We start from the raw sequence: 25957 nt of genomic DNA, 5'->3' as shown, positions 1-25957 counted from the left end.
CCAAAGCACACATTATATGGTCAGTTATTGGTAGGGGTTTTATTTGTTAGTTTGTTTTTGTGCATCTGTTTAATCATTAGGGCAGTAAATTCTGTGAGGGGAACATGTGTTTTCTCTCTGTAGCTCCAGTGCCCAGAAGAGCAAAAGCTACAAACCCCAAAGTCATCTTTGGCTTATGCTTTTCTGTCTTTCATCAAAGTCCTACTTTGATCAAAGTCTTGACATATACCTCAGAAGTACTGGCTCTCTCTACTGCTCTCCAGCCCCAAAGTCACAACCTCATGCCAGCCCTTGTCTTGTCTCACCTGACCTATAACATTCCCCACTTCCAGCCCTCCCCACACTGACTGATCTTTCAAGTTGTCAAAAAAGTGATTTTCTAAAAATAGATCTGATTGTGCAACTTCCCTATTCAGTAGGATAAAGTCTTAACTCCTTAGGATGGCTCCAACTCACCTCTCCAGTCCCATGTCCTACCTCCCCTCTGTAACTTGCCTGTCCCTACCAGCTATTTATTTACTTAATACCTCAGTTACATCACCTGGTACAGGCCACGTTTGCTCATGCTTCCACACCTTTGCATGTGCTCTTCATCCTACCTGAAACCCCACTACCACTAGTCTATTCCCTCTCCTCCTCAAACATACATACAAGCATGCACACACACACCTTTTCCTGGAAAACTACTATTTGGGATAAGAGTCCAGCTCAAATGTTGCCTTCTCTCTGAAGCTTTTCCCGAGTCTGACAGAGTTCATTTGCCACATTTTACCCACATTACTTTGTATTAATGTGCTGCATTTTAATTCTGTCTATGCACCTGTGTCCCTTAACAGTACTGTAAACTTACTGGTACCCATGATATACTTTGTTTATCTTTGTAACGCACACAAGTCATGTAGTACTGACATATAGGAGGTTCTTAATAAATGTTTTTACCACTGCTGAAGATTGTTGTGGGGTCTTCATGCCTGGAACTATGCAAAAATTAAATATAAAACATTTAACCTGAAGGCTGGGGCCACTCACTGGTCTACAGGTAGAGGGAAAGACTAGACAATCCTTCAAGGACCCTCTCAGTTCTAGTCTGATTCTCACAGCATTTACTGAATACCTACAATAGGCCAAGCACTGTGCTAGCTAATTGTTTAAAATCAATCATTTTATTCATTTCTTACAACAAACCTGAGAGGTAGGCAAATTATTTCCATTTCAATGCTGAAAAAAAAAAACTCAGAAAAGACTTGCCCAAGTTCCTGCACTCACTCAGCAGAAGAGCCCCCGCAACCGGCATACAATTCAACAATAAGCCTGCACAACAGGAGGGGAGCCCTTTTTAAGCAGTGAAGGATAGCAACACCCCACTGATTCTCAATGAATGGGAAAGAGCAATCAACTGATAATAAATGAACAAACAGAAATCAAATTATTTTTCCTGTAGCCCAAGTGAGCTCTGGTCTCTGTTGGGATTGAGCCTTATAAAGTGCAAAGCAACTTTAATAAAAACCAATACAAATTCAATCCTAATCATAACTGCAGGTAGAAATATCCCCTACAGGAAGGAGAAAGATTTCAGAGGCAATGAATAAAGCTAATTACTCCCTCATATCATACTTAGCAAAATCCAAAACAAAAAACTAGATGGCCTCCCTTTAATGTTCCCCTGATTCACTACTTACTGTGCTTTGTAACAGCTACCAACTTCCCTGTTTGCCACCTCCTTTCCAGCACTGGCCTCCTGAACTTGTTTTTCACTGACTGATGCTTCCATGCTTCCATGCCTTTGCATGTGCTCTTCATCCTACCTGGAACCCCACTACCAATAGTCTATTCCCTCTCCTCCTCAAACATACATACAAGCATAAGCACATGCATGCACACACACACACCTTTTCCTGGAAAACTACTATTTGGGATAAGAGTCCAGCTCAAATGTTGCCTTCTCTCTGAAGCTTTTCCTGAGTCTGACAGAGTTCATTTGCCACATTCCCCTCATCCTCCGCATTCCCCTCATCCTATGCCATTTATAGCAGAGCCTGACATTGATTCCTTGATCTCACTAGGTTCCACCTGTCCAATCTAAGATGACCCTCCAAAGCTTCTCAAATATATATATATATGTATGTTCAGGCCTTGTGCAGTGGCTCACACCTATAATCCCAGCACTTTGGGAGGTTGAAGCAGAAGGATCACTTGAGCCCAGGAGTTCAAGAGTAGCCAGGGCAATATAGTGAGACCCCCATCTCTACAAAAAAAATTTTTTTTAATTAGCTGGGCATGGTGGCACGTGCTTATGGTCCCAGCTACTCAGGAGGCTGAGGTGGGAGGAACACTTGAGCCCAGGAGCTTGAGGCTACAGAGTTGTGATCATGCCACTGCACTCCAGCCTGGGTAAGAGGGCAAAACCATGTCTCAAAAAATGCATGCACACACACACACACACACACACACACACACACACACACTCAATGGCCAAAACTGGAACAATCTGGGCAATGTATTAAATAATAAATAACCATAGTATTGGATTATAATTCAAGAATAAAATAAATATCCGTGAGCCTATACTGATATAAACGATTGAATAAATAAATGCAGGAGTGAAAAAATTCCTTACAGAAAAATTTCAAATAATAAATGTAAGGGAATGAGGGAAATAGAAAATCACCAATATAACAGGTGATTGCTACAGGCAAGATCTATTGATGAATGCTACAATCAATGGGTAAAATTTTTAGGAAAAAGAGGATAGGCCAGGCGCGGTGGCTCACGCCTGTAATCCCAGCACTTTGAGAGGCCAAGGCGGACGGATCCCTGAGGTAAGAAGTTTAAGACCAGCCTGGCCAGCATAGTGAAACCCCATCTCTACTAAAAATACAAAAATTAGCTGGATGTGGTTGCAGGCACCTGCAATCCCAGCTACTCAGGAGGCTGAGGCAGGAGAATTGCTTGAACCCACGAGGCGGAGGTTGCAATGAGCCAAGATTGCACCACTGCACTCCAGCCTGGGTGACAGAGCAAGCCCCTGTCTCGAAAAAAAAAAAGAAAAAAGAAAAAGAGGATAACTGCATATCCTCAAAATATCTCCCGCCAGATTTACTAATGACTATGGTGCTTTTAACAGGAATCCACAGATTCTTTGATAGACCTCCCTCCAAGAGGTAGAACTCAATTTCTCTTCCCTTGAGTGTGACTGAACTCAGTGACTTGCTTCTAAGGGACAGATCATAGAAAGGGAAAAATATGAATTTTAATGACAAATACCATATTAACTGTGTGATCAAGGTTAAAATCACCAGTAATATGTTGTATGGCTATTACAAGCCCTCTAATCTGATGTGATGAGAAAGGTACATCACTTTTGTGTTACCCTCCCAAAAACTGATAACCTCAGCCTATTCAGGAGGAAACACAAGACAGACTCAAATTGAAGGACATTTTACAAAATACCTGACCATTAGTCTTCAAAAGTGTGAAGGTCATAAAAGACAAGGAAAGACAGACAAATTACCATAAACTTGAAGAAACTAAGGACATAGGGTAACTAAATGCAATGTAGGACCCTGGATTGGATACTGGAACAGAAAAGAGGGTATTAATGAAAAAAAAAAAAAAGTCTATGCAGTAGTTTAGTTAATAGTAATGTATTAATTTCTTAGATTTGATAAATATACCATAATTATGTCTGATGTCAATATTAAAGGAAGATGAGTGAAGGGTACATATGAGAGCATTCTTTATTAGTTTTATAATTCTTTCATAAATAAAATTATTTTAAAATAAAACATTTTTTAAAGTATGACTTTCCTTTTTTCTGCTTTTTGTATGTATTTTACACTTCTATTTAAAAATTGTTTTTAAATTGAGCATGTTTTTCTTCAAAAATCAGAAATAAACAGGAAAATGTTCATTTTTAAAGACCAACTTTTTGGAAAAGGCTCCTCTCAGAAGGATAAATTGCTCTTCATCCTGTACTTCCCCAAAATTTTTTTTGTACTAAAACTCTACTGTAACACTCAGTTTATCCTACTTTATTTTAGAGTTGTTATGCGTCTCTCTTTTTGGCAACTCTACAGAGGCAAGGGCCCTTTTAATCCCACGCAGCACTTAGAATCCAATAAGTGTTAGCTGAGTTTTTGTCATGGAAGGAAACCTAATAAAGGCCAGTCCCTGAGCCAGCCCTGGCTTTGGGACCAGCCTGCCAGATGCTCATTTCTCCAGACCTCCTCTGCACCTGGGACCTCAGCAGGTGTCTGCTCTGCTCTGATGCAGCGTTTTACCAGAGCTCTAAGGCCAATCAGTCCAACAATGATTGAAATCTCTACCATATCTGCTTAATATTGAAAATACATCCTGTATGATGATTGACCCTTAGCAGTAGGCTTCTCATGCTGATGCAGGCATCTTTTAATCTGACTTACATCTCATCGTTTTTCCTCCCTTCTCACTATCCCCTGAGGAAACCCACCCACCACCCGAGCTCCAAAGTAAGCAAGCCCATCTACAACCTGCACGTATCCTCAGAATGTTTCATCCACCTCCCAGTGTTATTGGAATCATGGCTATCCTGTTATGACAGTCCTCTTGAGAGGCTAAAAATCAGAATACACCTACAGTCAACTGCTCTGGCTCACTGCATACCTAACCCCCCCACCCAACACAGGTCAGAAACCAAACTGGGAAAAAAACAAGGGAAATAAAGTGTATCCAAATTCCTTTAGATCTAAAACTTCATTCTTTATAAGAAAATAAGCAAGAGTTCATTTCATTTTTATGCCAAGAACAAACAGTTTTTTGGTTTTGTGTGTTGAGCATCAACCACAGGATTTGCACAAGAACAGGATTCCAAGTTCTGAACTAAGCAAGTGTAAGAAGTGGCAAAGACCAAATTCTAGCCACAACTTTTGGTGCTTTACCACAGTCCTAACATTTGTAATTGGAAATATATCATAGAGTTCCAGAATAGGAAGTTGAGAGGGGAAGGTATACCCTCTGTGGAGCCATAGTTAATGCACATGATGTTTCAGAACCCTTGAGGCTTTAATACTTTTCAAGCCAGGTAAGCAACAACCTAAAGATGGTGCTCTTTGATGCCCTCTTTCAATTCTGTAGGACACAATGGTCTAGTGTGGTTTCAGAGTCACTTGGATGTGCTGAAAGTTAGCTTCTTCTTCCTCTCAGTAAAGTGCAGCTGGTATTTTTCCTTTTTCATCTGAAAACCTTCACTATCATTTGAACAATAAATAACTGGTAGCAAAACCACATACAAGGAGAGAATGCTCATCCCCTGGCTAAGGCAGCCATATATGCTACAATGCAGATTGTGCATTACACACGGGCGCCACTACTAACAGATGTCCTTCACATCACAGATACCACAGATTTGCAAATTAGTGTGACTTTCCAGAAGATGGCAGTTGAAAGTACCCTATTCCAATTAAGTCAATCTATTATGACAATTTCCTAAAGGTGGATGTAAGGTGTTTCGAGAAAGGAACGTCTTTTTCTAATTTTCATAAAGGTGCCACATGTGTTAGTAGCAGCCAAGATTTGATTGTATGCTGTAAGATTGTCTTCTGTTCAGTAATTCTGTCTCTAAATTTTTAAACATCAGTCCACAGTAAAGACTTGCACATATTCCTGACTTTTTTGGCTATTTCTCTAAGAGTTTCCACTTGCAGTAAATCTAACCTCAACTCGATAAACATTTATAGATGTGATATGGGAGAAAAGAACATCATACAAAATAATAATGTATCTAACTAAACAATAACCTTAAAACAGACATGGTTGGCTGAGCTTTTATATATAGAACTCATACCAGCTTTTAAGATGTCTACATTTTCATTTTCCCTGCACAGCAACAGTTCCTCGACCTAGTTTCTCCACTAAAGAGGTCCAATTACGTTACATGGTAAGACTAAAATTTTGTCCTAAATTTAGAATGGAAGAGACTCATTAATTTGCTCTTATCCTTAAAACAAATACACTCTCTGTGTGAACTATATGACAGTGATTTTTTTGTAACACTAAATATGTCAAAAAATATTTGTTGGCAAAAATGACTACACATGGTAAGAGTTCCTATTATGCTAAAAACTAGAAACACATAAATAAATAGAATATGGTCCTTTTCCTCAAGAATTTTATACTTTAGTGGCAAAGAGAAATATATGAAGACATGATTATAATTCACTGTAATATGAATTTTACTAGAGGCATATGTCCGGTGCAAGCATGGGAATGAAGAAGGAGTGTCAACTACATGTGAGGCATCAAAGAAGTTTCCCCAGGAGACAGCACTTGGGCCCATCTTGATAGATGAGTACAAATTAGCAAGTGAGCAAGGCTAGGGGATATAATAGCCTGTGCAAAGGTTTAGGGCATGAAAAATCAAGCGACATGCAGAAAGTCCAAATATGTTTAAATGGTTAAAGCAAGTAGTGCAAGCAGAAGGCATAGAGTAAAGGGAATATGGACAGAACAAAGAGGCAAGAGATGGAACCCATCACATTGCCTGTGGAGGGCTTTTTATGACATACAATGAACTATGAATTGCAACCTGTAGGCAAAGGAGAGTCATTGAAGATTCCCATGTAAGGAAATGATACACTCAGATTTTAGAACCTACCAGCTTTTTAGAATTATTCTGGCAGCAGTATTAAGGGAGTACTGAAGGGAACAATACTGGAAGTTAACCACAGAGCAGATGAGAGATGAGAAACCCCCAGGAAGAAGAGGTATAAGAAGCAAACGCAGGTGTAGACGTGTAGAGGGGGAGATGCCTGTGAGACAAACAGAGGAAGGTCTCTGTATATAGATGTCCAGGCTGAGGATATAAACCTGTGAGTCCGCAAGACATGGATAGTAGGAGCAAGCCCTGGTATGGATGAGAAACCCTAAGGAGAGGACTTAGGCAAAGATTCTTCACCTAGAGTCCTAGGACTGCTGAGGATTCTATGGATAGAATTCAGGAAGTCTGAGAATGTGAAGGGGAAAAAAATATGTTCTTGTTTTCATGAACTAAAATTTCTCTCAATTATTAATACAGGAAACAATTCAAAGAAGTATTAGCAGTACTTGTGATTAAATCACAATACCTGCCAGGTATGGTGGCTCCCACCTGTAATCCCAGCACTTTGGAGGCTGAGGCAAGAGGATCACTTGAGCCCAGAGTTTGAGATCAGCCTGGGCAACATGGTGAAACCCCGTCTTTACGAAAAAAATATATAAAAATTAGCCGGGTGTGGTGGCAGGCGCCTGTAATCCCAGCTACTTGGGAGGTTGAGGTGGGAGGATCACTTGAGTCCAGGAGTTCGAGGCTGCAGTGAGCTGTGATCACATCACTGGACTTCAGCCTAGGTGACAGAGCAAGAACTTGTCTCAAAAAAAAAAAGAAAAGAAAAGAAAAGAAATCACAATACCTGTGATCACCAACAGAAATCTCAGATATTTTCATATCACATTAAAGTTATTAAAGCTATCTTGAAATAGCATTTATACTCATTATTGGTTCAAAATTATGGTAGTTGTTAGGCCCACCACTAGATCTTGTCTATTGTGTTAATAAAAAAGCACAAATATTACTATATCACAATTTTTAGAAATATTTTTCTAATTACATTTCAGCATATTTTGATTTTTTTGTAATTCTATGCATTTCATTCAAAACATTTAGAAACACTGGAGGGATTTAGAGGCCTCCCCGTCCTGCCAGACGGTCTGTGGCACAATTCAAGAACATCTGGGATGAGAACAAGACCAAGAGAGAAAACTTAGGGAACAAACATTTATGTAGTAGGGCTTGGAGCCGGTGAGGGGACTAAGAATAATGAGGTAGAGAGGTAAGAGAAGAACCAAAACACTGCAACATTGCAGGATTTACATACAACAACAGAAAATTTCAAGGATGACATGGTCTATACTATAAGAAAATAAATTATGTAAGTATTGAAATGTTTCCCTTTAATTTACCAATTATAGTTTGTATCAGTTAGAATCCTTCTTCTGTAAGCAACACAGCCATCTAAGGTACGTAAAAAGAAATGTATTGAAGGAATATGAGGTAGATCACAGACTCCAAGGAAAAATCAAAGAATTAGTCCATAGAAAGGACAGGAAATGAGGATGTCCAGGAGAACTAGGGTAGCAAGCAGGAAATGTCACCATCTGTCGTTCCCCTGACTTGTCAGCTTGGCCTGACTCAGGGTCATATGTCCACCCCTGGGCTGGGAGAAAGCAGGGCACCTGAACTGAACTGACAGTTAGTTACACCAGGATCCACAGAGGAGGGCAACTCCCCGGGATGGCATGCTGCCAGAAGGCAAAAGGACACTAGGCAAACAGAAGCACATGTCCACTTCAGGAGGTCCTACTGGCAACCTTATGACAGCAGTTTCAGTGTAAGGGGGCATGAAATCTGGATTGCTTTAGTTTACGAGCTGACTTAAAGTAAGGCAGAGAATCCCACTCTGTCAAAAAGCTTGATTATGAGAAAGAAAAATAGAATAACAATAAGAAAGGAATGCAAGATCAAGGGAGGGTTGAAAGAAAGATTTGAGCATACTTACAGATAGAGGAAAGAGCCAGAGCAATAGGATAAGTTTAAGATCTGGATAAGCCCTGGAAGATGGGTTGAATTTGCATAGAAAGAAATTACCATTGTCGCTTACCATGCCAGGCACTTATTGTGCCAGACACCACGCTAAACAGAATTCATCAGCATTATCTTTTAGTACTGCCAGTTTAGGTAGTATAATTATCCCCATTTCACAGAATGGGGTAGCAAGATTTAAGTAAATTGTCCAAGGTCACACAGCTATAGTGGCAGAGCAGGGAACAGGTAGCTTTCCCTGCAAAAATTGTTACTTTTTTTTTTTTTTGAGACAGGGCTCTGTTCTGTTCCATTGATCTATATCTCTGTTTTGGTACCAGTACCATGCTGTTTTGGTTACTGTAGCCTTGTAGTATAGTTTGAAGTCAGGTAGCATGATGCCTCCAGCTTTGTTCTTTTGGCTTAGGATTGACTTGGCAATGTGGGCTCTTTTTTGGTTCCATATGAACTTTAAAGTAGTTTTTTCCAATTCTGTGAACAAAGTCATTGGTAGCTTGATGGGGATGGCATTGAATCTATAAATTACCTTGGGCAGTATGGCCATTTTCACGATATTGATTCTTCCTATCCATGAGCATGGAATGTTCTTCCATTTGTTTGTATCCTTTTTTATTTCGGTGAGCAGTGGTTTGTAGTTCTCCTTGAAGAGGTCCTTCACATCCCTTGTAAGTTGGATTCCTAGGTATTTTATTCTCTTTGAAGCAATTGTGAATGGGAATTCACTCATGATTTGGCTCTCTGTTTGTCTGTTATTGGCGTATAAGAATGCTTGTGATTTTTGCACATTGATTTTGTATCCTAAGACTTTGCTGAAGTTGCTTATCAGCTTAAGGAGATTTTGGGCTGAGATGATGGGGTTTTCTAGATATACAATCATGTCATCTGCAAACAGGGACAATTTGACTTCCTCTTTTCCTAATTGAATCTCCTTTATTTCTTTCTCCTGCCTGACTGCCCTGGCCAGAACTTCCAACACTATGTTGAATAGGAGTGGTGAGAGGGCATCTCTGTGTCTTGCTCTGTCCACCAGGCTAGAGTGCAGTGGCACGATCTCGGCTCACTGCAACCTCTACCGCCCGGGTTGACGCCATTCTCCTGCCTCAGCCTCCCGAGTAGCTGGGACTACAGGCGCCCGCCACCACACCCAGCTAATTTTTTGTATTTTTAGTAGAGACAGGGTTTCACCGTGTTAGCCAGGATGGTTTCGATCTCCTGACCTCATGTCTGCCCACCTCGGCTTCCCAAAGTGCTGGGATTACAGGCGTGAGCCACTGCGCCTGGCCAAAAAGCCATACTTTTAACAATATTTTTCCTCTTTCTATAAAACCCAGAGAAAGGAGGTAAAGAAGGGTGTACCAATTTGTAGGTTTGTACCAAGGAGGTAGGACATGGAAGGGATTCCTATCACTTAGCTTCACTGTTCTCTATAGGTAAGTGCCAGCCACTGGTGGAGAAATGGGAGGTTGGCACCCCAACTAGAATGGCTATTATCAAAAAGACAAAAAAAAAATGCTGGTATGAATGTGGAGAAAGGAAACCCTGATACACTCTTGGTAGAAAAGTAAATTAGTACAGCTGTTATGGAAAACAGTATGGAAGTTCCTCAAAAACTTAAAAATAGAACTACCATTCCAGCAATTCCACTACTGGGTATTCATCCAAAGGAAATGAAATCACTATGTCAAAGAGACATCTGCACTCCCACGTTTATTGTGTCACTATTCACAATAGCCAAGATACGGAATCAACCTAAGTGTCCATCAATGGATGAATAATGAATGTGGTACACATACGCAATGGAATATTATTCAGCCACTAAAAAATGAAATCTTGTCATTTGCAGCAACATAGATAAACCTGGAGGGCATTGTTAAGTGAAGTAAGCCAAACTCATAAAGACAAATACAACATGATCGCACTCATTTGTGGAATCTAAGAAAGCTGGTCTCATAGAAGTACAGCATAGAATGGTGATTACCAAAGGCTGAGGACAGAGAGAGGGAGGGAGAGATGGAGGGAGATTGGTCAAGGGGTATAAAATCACAGTTACATAAAAGGAATAAGTTCTGGTATTCTATTGCACAGTACAGTGACTAGTTAACAATCTTGTATATCTCATAATAACTAGAAGAAAGGATTTTGAATGCACTCACCACAAGGAAATGATAAATGTTTGAGATGATGGATGCCTTAAATACCCTGATTTAAACAGTACAAAATACATACTTGTACGGAAACATCACACTGTACCCCCCAAATATGTATAATTATTGTATCAATTAAAAATAAAATAAAACCAAAAAAAAAAAGAAATGGGAGGTTGGGAAAGGCACAGTGAAGCTAACCAATGAAAGACTGTTACAATCTGGGCTAGGAATGAGAGAGAACTGGCTATGATAGGAGAAAGGGCCTAGACACCCACCCCCTTCACACACACACACACACACACACACACACACAAACACACACACACACACACACACACACACACAGGGTCTCCCAAGACTACACAAAAGCAGTGCCCACAGCTGTGAAACTCTCTATAGCTTCTACATCAGGGCTATCCAGCAGGCATGGGAGTACTGGAGACAAACCCAAGTTCAAATCACAGCTCTGCCTGTTACAAGGAGAAATGAAAAAATAAAGAAAACCTGTTAATCCAAATAAATTAGATTAGTAATTTATTTGGATCTGAGATCAGATAATCAGTGGTTACCATTCTTATCCTGTCTGAGCCAGAGCAAAGGAATGCTTTTAAATTTTATAGATATAATTGTGTATGTATATATAAACATATACATACACACACATATATATTCAATTTCTATCACTAACAACTTCGGCTAGCTAGCATTCATCAACAAAGATCAACCAGCAACATCTTTCATAATTCTATGTATTTAAAGATTAATACATTTCTTTTCTTAGTCTTTACTAAAAATCTACCATTCCAAATGTTTAGAGCACAGCAGGTAATAATGTTTTTGTTTTTTTTTTTTTTGAGATGAAGTCTTGCTCTGTCTCATCCAGGCTGTGCAGTGGTGTGCAATCTCGACTCACTACAGCCTCTGCCTCCAGGGTTCAAGCGATTCTCCTGCCTCAGTCTCCCAAATAGCTGGGACTACAGGTGTGTGCCACCACACCTGGCTAATTTTGTATTTGTCATAGAGATGGGCTTTCGCCATGTTGGCCAGGCTGGCCTGGAACTCCCGACCTCGGGTGATCCACCTGCCTCAGCCTCCCAAAGTGCTGGGATTACAGGCATGAGCCACCATGCCTGGCCCAGGTAATAATTTTGACTAATATAACACAAATTTAGGAACACCTAAATGATTCTTTTAGACCTCTAGGTTAGAAGAAATGAAAAACTATTTAATGTCTATAAGATATATATCTAAAATGCTTAAAAATAAAGTAAGATGTAGACTCGACAGTTTGATACCTTTGTGGAAGCAATATTCTCTCTCAAACATTTAAAAATCATCTGGAAAATCACTATATTCTGTCTGAAAACCAAGTTCGAGATTCCGGGTTTAGTAGACAAAAAAAATAAGCCATAGGACAGAATGAAAAGCAGGGTTCCAGATTTAAAATATGTACCTACACATCATAGAAAATATCTGGGAAAACATATGCCAAATTGTTAAGCTATTTACCTGTGCTATTAGAATGGGGTAGGCTTGGAGTTCCTACTCAGAGAAGTTCTACTTCTCATCCTACCATCCTCTGATTTTTAAAAAATAAATCTGTATTACCCTGTTAAATCTTCAACTATTTATACATATATATATTTATTTACTTATTCATTTAATACATTTTTTATTTTGTTATAATTTTATATTTAGAGAAAAGCTGCAAAGATAGTACAGAGAGTTCCCATACCTCTCACCCTGTTTCCTCCATTGTTAACATCTCATGTTATCAAGGTACATATGTAAAAAGTATAAAACTGATCTTAGTACAGAACTATTAATTAAACTCCAGACTTTATTTGTATTTCACCAGTTTTTTCATTAATGTCCTCTTGCAGTCCCAGGACCTAATCTTGAGTACCACATCACATTTAGTTGTCATATGTCCTTAGTCTCCTCTGGTCTATAATAGCCTTTTAGGCTTTCCTTGTTTCTCATGACCTTGATAGTCTGGAGGAATACAGGCCAAGTATCCCTAGAATGTCCCCAGTCTCGGTTTATCTGATAATTTTCTGATAATTAAAATGAATTATGGATATTTGAGAAGAATACCATGGAGGTGAAGTAGTACTCTTCTCACCACATCACATTAGGGGTATACAATATCCACACAACATCAATGGTGACATCAACCTTCATCACTTGGTTAGGGTTATACTTACCAGGTTTCACTACTGTAAAGCTACTATTGTTCACTTTCATATCCTGTTTTCTGAGAGCAAGTCACTAAGTCTAGCCCACCCTCAGGAGTGGCTTAAACTCTTCCTCCTAGAAATGGGAGTATTTACACATATTATTTGGAAGTTTCTGTAAGAAAGATCTATCTCTTCTCCTGTTTATCTATTTATTCAATTATTCATTTATATTAGTATACACTCATGTATATTTATTTTATATTTTAACTCAATACTACATTATTTATTAGGTGTGGCCAGTAGAAGCTCTTTCAGCTTGGCTCCTATGTCTCTTCAACAGCTCCATCCTTTTGTTTTTTGAACATTTCCTTACATTCTTGAACTACATGATACTCACTAACACACATCTAAAATGTTTCCCTGCCCCTAGTATTAGCCATTACTTGAAGGAGCCCTGATTCCTTTTATTGATGAATGGTGTATAGCACCAAGGTCTGGGCATTAATGTGTTCCTTCAACTACCCTCAAAGTTTGTTGAAGCTTCGAGTTAGTGTATATCGAGCACTTCCTAACACAGAGCCTGACACATAGTAATCACTCAATAAATGAAAGAATCCATCATTGTTATTATTTTTATGCACATTTGTAATAAATTTGGAATTTCCAGCTGCTAATCCAAAATTGTATCCTATTACTCACTGCATCAAGCCCTGACATGTCCACAGATCTTTCTATATTTCTTTCTATATTTCTGAGGCTAAGGACCACAGAAGGCCAAGAAATAGACGCTCTCCATCCTCTGGACCGGAAGTCTGCATTCTTTCACCATAAAACATTTTCCCTCCTTTCCAAGCATCTATGCAGAACAATGAAATCAAAAGAGCTTTGTGGAAAACATCTCTTGTGATCTTTTAGTTTTTAAGTTTAAATGAAATGTTTTGAAAGGCACTAAAAAGAAAAGAAAAAAAACTCCTATACACAAGTCAAACTCTCTTTGGATCTACAGAGTTCAGTTTTGAATTCCTGTCCAAAATAGCTTTTGTTTTGAAATACTACAATGTCATTGCTTTGGAAATGGCCATTGCCCTACAGATCTATAAAATGCCCCTTTAAACAAATCCTGTACGTCAAACACCAATGTCATTGTTCTTATTGAGTAATAAGTACTAGAGAATCTCTTTTATGAATTATAAACCAGTAACAAAGGTCCTAGAGGGTGATTTAAATGGTGCCTCTACCTCAAGCACTCTGTCTGGTTAGAGGGGCTGCCGGGAATCCCACGGTATAGGAACCAGATGGGAGTACTGAGAGATCTGTGAAAAGGACCCTGGGACTCACAGGCTGGCCTCAGCACACAAGAATAGGAATAAGTAAAAAATTTAGGGCCACTTGGCACCTCTCAGGGAGTTATCTGGGCCCTGCAGAGTGTTGGGTGGGGAGCAATGTGGAAAAAGCACCCTGGTTTAGCATGTATCAGAAGCCTAGAGGGTCCAGGGCAAAAGCACTGCAAAAGAAACACAATGGGGCTGGGCACGGTGGCTCATGCCTATAATCCCAGCACTTTGGGAGGCCAACATGGGTGGATCATTTGAGATCAGGAGTTCAAGACCAGCCTGACCAACATGGTGAAACTCCGTCTCTACTAAAAATACAAAATTAGCATGCGTGGTGGAGCACGCCTGTAATCCCAGCTACTCAGGAGGCTGAGGCAGGAGAATCACTTGAACTCAGGAGGCAGAGGTTGCAGTGGGCTGGGATTGTGTCATTGCACTTTAGCCTGGGCAACAAGAGCAAAACTCTTAAAAAAAAAAAAAAAAAAGAAACAAAAGAAAAGAAAGAACCCCATTCAGACAAAAGTCTTTTGAGTTCTTCAGTATCCACATTCTTCTTACTAAACATTCTCAGTTTGGGATTCCTGCTTTTTACGCCCAGTATCTTAAAATGTGCTAATTTTACACTGGTTATTCTTGCTCTATCCTAAAACCTACATTCTTCTGGGCAAGGCCAGGTGATCCCTGCCATAGGCTGGAACCTCTAAAATCCCATGGTACCTGTCTAGCATATTTCTGGTCTGGCCCACCTTGAACTTCTCACTTTTGCTCCTGGCATGGTCCCACCCAGCTGTGTCTTCCAGGTTCTTGACCTGCCCAGCACTTCATCTGTATCTTACTATCCACAGCAGCCCCTGCCCTTGGGTCATGGCCTTCAGGGTCCATGTGGCTACACACAAATGTCCCTCAGGGCCTAGAAAATGTATCCCGATTTCCTTGAGGAAAAGAGTTATAAGAACTAAAGCAACTGAAGTTACCTTTGGAAAATCTAAGCAAAGCCTCATAAATCTGATACATACTGTCTTTCCTCCCCTCAGGAAGAATTACAGGAGGAACCAGGTCAACAGAAGACACAGATTCCTTACTTTTTAACGTTGGACTATTACTATTAATTAAACTTTAGGCTTTTTAAAAAGTGGCCAAGGGCCAGAGTGCCTCAATCCCAAGAGGTCAGCATTGGAAGTGACCATATAGTCAGGGGCATTGGTATTACAAAGACAGCATGGAATTGAGAGTCATTTACATTTGGGTTCAGTGTCTTATCCCCACTCACAAATTGAAAAACTTTAGGCAAATCATAGATCATAAGCTTCAGTGTCTGTAAAATGATAATCCAATGTTACAAGCTCTGTAATTTATTTTTAAATACTTCATTCTAATTGGTTTGATATATGTGACAATTAATTTAAGTTTCATTTCTAGGCAAAGTCAGCTAAAGCAATGCCTGAAATGTACAGTCCGAAAGTGGGTGTGTGTGTCAGGCAACAATACATCAGAAAGGGGATGGACTCACTCCTACTTCAGTCAATAACCATTACCATTTAGCAAGCTGAAAGTTTAGAAATGGGTTTTACCTGGTGAAATTAAACGTATTCAAGACATATGGGTTAGCTAAAATAATTTAGAAACATGTGTAAGAAAAAAGGGCAAGACTTCTCTGATGCCTCAACTTTGTACCCTTGAGTGATGTTGCCTGAGACTTAATCCCTAATCTGTCCTTGTCTCCAACCATTGATTTAAAAGGATTTCTGATTTACATACAAAGGATGCAGAATCCTAAATAGAGCAAAGCTTTTACTTTTTATTTTTTACTTAATATATAGTTAGAGCACCTAAAACAAAATAGAGCTGAGAGTTCATCAATCTATCAAACAGACTGTATGAAATATTTTGTGCCTGCTTTGCAAATTAATGCTAGTCTAATAAATATCTCTATATGATATTTTGGTCTAAGGCTTGAATTCATTACAGCTTGGTATCAAGCCTATAGAAGAAGTAACTATCACCACCCCAAACTTTTTGGGTGGTTACTGTGATTTCCAAAATGAAGCTGAAATCTGAGTGTAACCAAATTGGCTTAAAGAAATTCTCAATTTCTGGCTGGGTGCGGTGGCTCACGCCTGTAATCCCAGCACTTTGGGAGGCCGAGGTGGGTGGATCACAAGGTCAGGAGATCGAGACCATCCTGGCTAACATGGTGAAACCCCGTCTCTACTAAAAATACAAAAAATTAGCCAGGCGCGGTGGCGGGCCCCTGTAGTCCCAGCTACTCGGGAGGCTGAGGCAGGAGAATGGCGTGAACCCGGGAGGCGGAGCTTTCAGTGAGCCAAGATAGCACCACCGCAGTTCGGCCTGGGTGAAAGAGCGAGACTTCGTCTCAAAAAAAATAAATAAAATAAAACAAGACATTCTCAATTTCCATCCTTCATATCCCACAGAGTTTTTGGGAAGTTACAAGTGAAAGTGCTTGGTAAATTCTAAAATGCAATACAAACATACTGTCTCAGAAAGATGTTTAATTTGTACAACTCAAGTTCCTCCATGGCTCACCAGCCTGGAAGTTCAAATGGAGTAACATTTTTGGTAATGTGCTACATTTCTCTCCATCTTTATTTTAACCTCCTTATCAGAGTCTTAGCTCCCTGAAAACAGGGCCCTAAGTAGAATCTCATGAAGCTCCAGCATGAATTTCACATGTATGCACACTCACTGCATCATGGGCACCTTTACCAGGAAGAGCTGTTATTTCTGGGCACTGCCAGGCCCCTCCCACTAATGCTCTAGAGTAGTGGTCTTCATGATGGGGGACTCATCATAAAGGGGGATGCAAGGCAAACCTTTGGGGTGTGATGAAAATATTAGAACTTCTGTTTAATTTTTATTTTAACCTTTCAGATTTTTACTTCTATATGTTTTGTAAAATATGTAAGACATTAATACATGAGAGAGCTCAGACATTTTTTAACAGATAAATATGTCAATCAAAACAGTTTGGAAACCTCTGGCTTCAAGCATCTGTGGATAGAGGGAAATATGCCTTTCTCCCTCTTATACAATATACTCTCCTGAGGGCTATTGCAGCAGTGGTCTTGTGCTCAAATGACATACAGATTCTTTAGTGGAAGAGCTCTTACATTCAGCCCACTCACCCCTCCCCAGCTTTTCTAGGACTCAGGCCAGAGTCCAGGGAATGGCTGAGACAGGACACTTCCTCATGACCCACATAGAAACTGACATCAGAATCACTCCACCCTCTGGTGATCAGAGCTTACTGTGGCTGACTCCACCTTTCTTAGGATACTTTCTCTCTAGGAACCGCTTTTGACTCTAGTATCAATACACTGATGGGACAGACCACCAACTCATCACAGATACAGGGCAGACATTCAGCAGACATGCCCAAACATGTCTGAGGCTCAGTGATGGAGATAATTCAAGCTCAGATGCTACTGGCTACATCACAGCTGACAGCCTAAAGAAATACTAACCCCTCATTGCTAAGTCATGTAATCATTTCCAAGGCAATTTTTACCTGTACCTGTGGAAAAGCCTTCAGGCAATTTTGTTCCTTGAGAGTTACCCCTGTGTCTGCTTACACATTCAATACCTGTGGGAAAAATGTGAAGTTAACTAGATACAGCATTTTAACACCTGTGTATGTGATAGACTGTGTGAACTGAATCGGTATTAGAGAAGTAAATGCACATTTTAAAATATGGAATTTCCCTTGACAACCTTGTGTTTTAACTATGAATTTTAATATTCATTGGCCCTAAAATCCCTTCTATGAAAACATTTCCCCAAATTAGAAAGGAAGCATAGAAAAAACAAAATTTGATATATAAATATTCATTTTACACAGCCATTTTTTGACATGCCCTTCCAAATCCCATCCAAGCCTCCTCTCTGAGCCTCATCCTAAACACGTACTCTCTATACCATCATTCTGCTTATATATACTCTCTCTCTTTTTTTTTTTTTTTTTTTTTTAAGACAGAGTCTCACTCTGTTGCCCAGGCTGGAGTGTAGTGGTGCTATCTCGGCTCACTGCAACCTCCGCCTCCCAGGTTCAAGAGATTCCCATGCCTCAGCCTCCTGAGTAGCTGGGATTACAGGGGTATGCCACCACACCCAGCTAATTTTTGTATTTTTAGTAGAGACGGGGTTTCGCCATGTTGGCAAGGCTGGTCTCAAACTCCTGACTTCAAGTGATCTGACTGCCTCGGCCTCCCAAAGTGCTGGGATTACATGTGTGAGCCACTGCGTCCAGGCCTCCTTATGTATATACTCTTATACTCCACTTGCTTAACACAGTGGTCACCCATACTCAGGAATGCCCTTATCTATACCCAGCTGAAATCCTCAGTCACTCCTCAAGGCTCAGGTCAGATTTTACTTCCTGTTTAGACCCTGAACCCTGACTGAATTAACTGCACCCTCATCGACCTTCCCATAGCTCTTTGTATTTACTGGGACTAATTAGGTGGTTTTATAATTTCTCTGACTCCCCATTATCTTGCTCAGCTACGTATGTTCTGCACAATCATGGCACAATCATGCCACTATGTAGGCATTAGATCAATGCATGTTGGATTGGTGTTATATTCAGGACACTGCAAGAATCTCTTGGTCTTATAATCACTACTTGTCTGGACAGCTCCCAGAACATCACAGCTAGAATGATGACAACACTGTATGGATGGATCATGGGACATGGCCTTGGGCAATGCCTGATGGCAGGCTCCAGAAAGAGCTTCTAGACATCCATGAGTAGCAAAAGGGACTGGGAACACAGGGAGAGTAGGTCAAACTGCACCTGTCCCCAGTTTCGCACAGGGGCCAGCTCCTTGGGGAATACAACAGCCAGAGTTTTTGCCAGAGGTGCTTCCAATTGCTTGAGGAGACAGACTTACACATGTGAAACAACCTCAGAGTATATGAACAAGTAGTAAATCATGATAAAAAGCATTATTGCTTTAGGAATTCAGAGAACGTTATGACCACAGAGAGCTAGAGAAAAGGCAAAGGTTGTAAGAAGAAACTGGGGTTTTAATGGGGTGTGAAGCATGGGCCAAGCAGAGATACTGCTAGTCTCCCCAGTTCTTTACAGTTGATACAGTTGTTCCTAATTTCTTTTTTTTTTTTTTTTTTTTTTTTTTGAGACGGAATCTTGCTCTGTTGCTCAGGCTGGAGTGCATGGCACAATCTCGGCTCACTGCAAGCTCCTCCTTCCGGGTTCACGCCATTCTCCTGCCTCAGCCTCCCGAGTAGCTGGGACTACAGGCGCCTGCCATCATGCCTGGCTAATTTTTTGTATTTTTAGTAGAGATGGGGTTTCACGGTGTTAGCCAGGATGGTCTCGATCTCCTGACCTCGTGATCCACCCACCTCGGCCTCCCAAAGTGCTGGGGTTCCTGTCTAATTTAAGGAGGAAGCAGGGCAGCTGGAGTAGATTATGGTACAAGACTTACTTGACCACCGATATGCCACAGGTCTGGAATTGGAACAGAAACTCTCCTAAAACCAGGGCAAGGCAGGCTGACCACCAGTTAGCCCTCTGCTTACATTCTGAATAATCTGGGTCTCCACTAACCACTCCAGAGCACCTCCTGTATCCTAGGCACTCTGCTAGGTGCTTTACACACGTTGTTTCTAAGTCTTGACAAGGAAGGTATACTTGACAAGGAAGGTACCGTGAAGAAAATAGGACCCAGAAAGGTTAGGCAAGTTTCCCTGGGCACAGAGCTAGTGGGGGTGGGACTGAGATTTGAACCCAGAAGATCTAACTGGCCCCAAGCCCAAGCTTACCAACATCCTATCTGCCTTCCTCATGGGAAAATCGTCAAGGGGAAAAAAGGTCTTTTAAATTCTCAACGGGAAAAAAGGTTGCTGTTTTGTTCTATTGTGAACATTAGTGTGCATAACAATGCCAGGGTTGTAGGCCATGGAGTTAAAACTGGCTCCTGCCTACTGGAATTAATTCCAAAGACAAATGATAATTGTGCAAAAAAGAAATACATTCTGGTACTGAAGTCAGCACTATGTAATCCCCTTGAATTAGGATGTAGTAACTTTACATATCAATTTGGAGAATTCTCCGATCAGACAGAATTTTATTTCAAAATTAAAAAAAAATAACAAACCCTTTCTGTCTAGGATAACACATCTCTTGTTCAGTAGAGTCTCCATCCAGCGCTGACACTGCATTTTCTTCCTCTCTTTACCACAGTGCACTAGCTACACTGGATACTTGAGGCTGTCCTAGACATGGGCTTTAACAAAGCTGGAAAAGGTTCAAAGAGCAGCAGAAAGATCATGGAGATAGGAGGGGCTTCATGAGAAAATGTCTAATAATATCAGTTGTATGGTTTAGAGAAAGGGAAGGCAGGAAGTAGAAGAGCATGACCTAGATCTATCACACAATCAAAAATTATATGGGGTGATCTTAAGCTCATTTTTACCAAATCCCAGTCACTTAGAAACAAAACAGAACTTGGTGACTCAACAGGACTTAGGTGAGGGTAGACATGGAAGAGAGGGCTTAGGATGACTCCCAGTCTCCACCCTAAGGGCAGGGACTGAAGACAATTCTTAATTCCAGACAGGAAGTTCAGAAAGGATGAGATCATTTCAGGTGTGCTAAGTGAAAAGTGCCTGTGGAAGATTCAGGAAAAGACATACAGAAAGCAGGAGAAATACAAGTCTGAATCTGGGAGAAAATAATCAGAGGCTAGAAATCTGAATTTATGAGTCATCAGCACATGGAAATAGAAGAAGCCATCAACAAGCATAGATCATCCAGAGAAAAGGTAGAGACTCAAAGATTTGTCCCTTCCAGTCTGGTACCAGACTCATGGACTCAAGAGAGTTATTTTATTTATGTATTTATTTTCAGAGACAGGGACTTGCTCTGTCACCCAGGATAGAGTGCAGTGACATGATCACAGCTCATTGTAGCCTCAGACACCTGGGCTCAAGCAATCTTCTTGCCTCAGCCTCCCTAGTAGCTGGAATTACAGTTGTACACCACTACGCCCATCTAATTTTTTACTTGTTTTTTAGGGACTTTTTTGCTCAGGCTGGTCTCGAACTCCTGTACTCAAACAATCCTCCCTCCTGAGCTTCCCTAAAATGATGGCCAGGCCTGAGCCACCACATCCAGCCTGAGAGTCATTTTAGACAAAATAAAACATTATTCTGGGAGCCAGGGGCATTCTTCTCAGCAAGCTTGAGAGGCAGGCATTATCATTTTTATTTTACAAACAAGGACACTGAAGCTCAACAAAACTCAGCAACTTGCCCATGGTCACAATGTTGGCAGTATAGAAGCAGAATTCAATCCCCAATCTATCTTTCACCAAGGACCCTGTGTGCTCTTTGCACTACTTCACTAGTTCATTTAGGGACTGGCTCTCATCACTGAGTTATAAAAATAGTAAAGACTAACATTGCTATGATAATGAACAAATTATTGGAAACTGTTATCAAAGTATCATGAAACTGTTAATATTTGGCCATTTTTTGACAACAACAATGGAAATTCCATACCGTTTGACCTAACAACAGCACTTTCACTTATATTTTATGTGAATGTCTACAGCAGCAGTGTAAATTTCTAAAGAAATTCTATACCCAATAGGAAGGGTAGAGGGGAACCAAATACTTCACCCAACTCATTAACAGCAAAAATATGTTGTGGCTAAAAAGAGAAAAAACAAATAGAAACACAAATTTGCAAGATAAGGAAACTCTAAAAAAATTTTCTTGTGAAAGATAATAGCTTGTTAGTTTAAGCGAAACTTTATGTGTTGACTTTAGGTTGACCACCAAAAGTATTATGAAATATAAGCTAATAAAACACACAAGTGTGAAATATAAATGGTATATAAATACTATTGTCTGAATGTTTTGCGTTCCCAAAATTTATATGTTAAAATCCTAACCCCCAAGGTGATGATATTAGGAGGCAGGGCCTTTGGGAAGTGATTAGATCATAGGGTGGAACCCTCATGAATGGGGTTAGTGCCCTAATAAAAGAGGCCCAAGAGAGACTCTTTATCCCTTCCATTATGTGAGCACACAGCTAGAAGGTACCAGCTGTGAACCAGAAAGTGGACTCACCTGACACCAAATCTTTGGTACCTTGACCTTGGACTTCCCAGCTTCCGGAACTGTGAGAAATAAATTTCTGTTGTTTACAAGCAACCCAGTTTATGGTATTTTGTTATAGCACTCCAAATGAACTAAGATAATAAATTAAAATATGTTTTCAGGTACATGAGCACACTAAGGAAATTTAAAATACTCTGTGGAACAGATTTTTGGAAAATCCTAAGACTAAACAAACAATGGAGAAATATGGAGAACCCTGTAAATGAGGCATAAAATACTAGAGCTATCAGGAAACAAAAATCATTTAAATTTTACCCTTTTGTTTTACTGTGGAGGAAACCAAGATTCAGGAAGAGTATGTCAGCAGGGACTAAAAATTCAGGTGCCTTACTCCCAGTCCAGTGCTCTCTGAAATAGATTAGAATAACATGCTATTTGAACACAGTAATGTATTTGTACATTGCAACTGACCATGCCATATATTGCAGATGCAAGAAAATTTTCATGAGGTATAATTTTTATTTTGTAGCATAAGGTTGTTGAAAGTATATTAAATATGTTTTATTTAATATATTAAATAACATTTAATAAAAACAAATATGTTTTATTATCATAAAATAAAAACACTGAGTTTTAAATTTTAACAGCATTACTTTTTCTTATTCAGCTTGTTATGATTATGGTATAACCAGAACACTGCCTTCTCCCAAGATGTCTTTCTACTGCTTTTGGATATTGCTTGTCTTTTTAAAGAAAAAGGCATTCTAAAAATAGGATACTGTCAAAATGGTTTGAATTTCAAGGAAAAAAAAAAAACCCTAACACCTGCTCCCTGAGAAATAAATACTCAGTTCAAAAGTATGACATTTAGAATATGCCTTTGGTACAAAATTCAGCTGCAGATATCCACTTCAAAGATTGTTTTGAATCTAATTCAAAATAAGTATAGAATTAGGCTCTCTTAATTATTCCTTCATTTATGAAGCTGTATGTTCTTCATGAAACAACTGTATCATTGTGTTCCTGTGCTTTGCTCTATTTCTCATTAGAGCATTTTTAATAGCAACAGAGAAGGGCTGACTGTCATGGCTTATCACTCTCCCTATCTGAAACTTTCATCAAAGAGTCTTTCAAATTCCACCAATCCATCAATCTGAGATTTACAGCTGGGGATTCATGATTTAAAGGAGAATAAATAACCCTGTTCCTGAAGGGGACCCAAATTCACTAAAGAGAGAAAGGAAGAGACAACCACCAGTAAAAGAATCAATGTATCTTTCAAATGACCTGTGAAACCCCAGCTTCCTCATAGAAACCCTTTAGAGAGGAGGACATCAGAGCTTCCCAGGCAATATCCCTGCTTCCAATAGAAGAATTTAGAATAATTGGATGGTACATGATACCCTAACCATCAGCCACAAGAATTTCTTGGCATGCTATCTGGAATAGCAAGAATAACTCAAGGGTGTTTATACCTTGAAAAGGACCACTGCAAAAGAGAGTTAATTTTTTATTACTGAATACAATCATGTGGCCTCCTCTCACAGGGTTATGTGGATTCATTTACTCTCGTAACAAATGTTTATTGAGCACCTACCATATGCCAGGCACTATTCTGGGAGCTAAGGAAACATCAATGAACAAAATAGACAAAAATCTCTGCCCTTATACAAGTTATATTATACCAGGGAGAAACAAACAAACAAGTAAAATGTTTAGTTTGCAGAAGGTGATAAGTGTTATGAACAAAATTTAAGCAGAGACAGGAAATTAAATGAAATAATATATATGCTTGACACAGTATAAATATTTAAAATATATTAAAGAGTTCTTCTCTTAAAAGCTCTAAGAATGATTTTCTTGGTTTCAGGGCTGGAGTTGAGGAGAAATTGCATTTTCTTCTTGAGAGAGTAATAATCTTACCCCACTACTTCTAAGTATGTGAAACAATAACTTTCATTTATCAAATTCTCACTTTGTGCCAAAAACTTTACATAAAATACTTCATTTCATCCTGTAAAATGGATATTCTCCTTACATATGGGGAAAAATGAGGCTCTAAGAACCTTAAGATCATAACTCTAATAATTTTATAGTAGAGCTAAGATTCAAAGGTAAATATACCTGGCTCCAAAATCCACCCTGCCAGGCTCTGTTTTTGTTCAGTGTTTAGGTATAGGGTGTCAGGAGATGGAGTAAGTCAAGAAGGGAAACATGATGATTATTCTCATGGTACTGCCTATTCCCTGCTCACCTTCCCTACCACTAATCTCTTGCTCAGAGAATTTCAGTCTATATATATATATGTATAAATTGCTGGATGTTAGGATTCCAAATCCAAAATGGAAACCCCCTATTTGATGCAAGCTATTGCAAAAATATCACTTTAGATTTGGGCATGTAACATTTCCACCACCATTTAAGGTTCTAGAGTAGACTTTTTTTGAAAGCTTGTTTTCTCCTCAAGCTGGTTGATGGCACTCAATTTACTACTTCTTGTTTGGGTATCTGAGCATATATGGTATTTAGGCAGGATGGTGTTAAGGTCTAAGAACCAGAGAAAAACATCATACCAAAGATAATAATTTATGTTATTTTCTTAAAGAATTTTTTTTAAAGAAAAACAAAATATATGGGTATATTCACCTTTACAACAAATCAACCAAATGATATTAACTAAAGCAAAAAACAAAAGGAAAAACTCTCTAAGTAAACAACAACAAAAAACCAAACAAACACAAAAAAAACAGAGTAAAACGTGTCTTGTTTTGTTTGAGCCAGGGTCTTGCTCTGATGCCCAGGCTGGAGTGCAGTGATGCAATCATGGCTCAATGTAGCCTGGACCTTCTAGGCTCAAGCAATCCTCCCCCCTCAGCCTCCTGAGGTGCTAAGACTACAGGCATGAGCCACCATGCCAGGCCTGTTTCTCTCCTTATGCTGGTTATGTTATCTTTTTCTCCATCCTCTGCCTTTCAACTTATTTTCAGTTTAGTCAAAATTCAAATGTTTAAAAATCCTGTTATCCAGGAAGGGGAACATCACACACCAGGGACTGTTGTGGGGTGGGGGGAGGGGGGAAGGATAGCATTAGGAGATATACCTAATGCTAAATGACGAGTTAATGGGTGCAGCACATCAACATGGCACATGTATACATATGTAACAAATCTGCATATTGTGCACATGTACCCTAAAACTTAAAGTATAATAATAATAAAATAAAATTTTTAAAAAAATCCTGTTATCAATTATTTATTACTAAATGAATATAAACCATAACATCTTAATTCACCAATCTGATTCTTTATTTGTTCTCAGAGGAATCATATCTTTTTGTGGTAGTTTTTATTGTTACCTTTGTTTTCAGATCTGTCCTTTTTTCTTGGAGAAGCTGCCCTTCTGAGGCAGGTGTTCCTCTACAGTGTTCTAGAAGCTGTGTGCTCCTACTAGCCAAGCCTGAAGAAATGTGCATCCTTCAGTTTCTTCTTGTGCTGCCCATCTTCTCATCACCACCCCCTTATTCTTATTTACTTTTAATTTAAAATGAAATGTACCAATAACCCTAAAGGACAA

At 39.6% G+C, this 25957-nt stretch overlaps 1 protein-coding gene across 8 annotated transcripts in view; it reads right to left on the bottom strand.

Moving 5' to 3' along the window:
• The window catches only part of AKAP6 (A-kinase anchoring protein 6), a 508387-nt gene that overhangs the window by 474507 nt on the left and 7923 nt on the right, over positions 1 to 25957 (bottom strand). For 2 of the 8 annotated variants that reach the window (XM_024449755.2, XM_047431970.1), the window contains exon 2: positions 22700 to 22792. The exons of 4 other annotated variants lie outside the window; for them this stretch is intronic. The gene's annotated coding sequence lies outside the window, so the exon portion shown is untranslated. Of the gene's footprint in view, positions 1 to 17810; positions 17880 to 22393; positions 22444 to 22699; positions 22793 to 25957 lie in introns of all 8 variants that reach the window. 2 more of the 8 variants (XM_047431969.1, XM_047431966.1) reach the window with 2 other exon arrangements.

The sequence above is a fragment of the Homo sapiens genome, chromosome 14, assembly GCF_000001405.40.
Source record: "Homo sapiens chromosome 14, GRCh38.p14 Primary Assembly".
NCBI classification, from domain to species: domain Eukaryota; kingdom Metazoa; phylum Chordata; class Mammalia; order Primates; family Hominidae; genus Homo; species Homo sapiens.
Note: the sequence above shows the minus strand (reverse complement) of the source record. Positions and strands in the feature narration are given on the sequence as shown.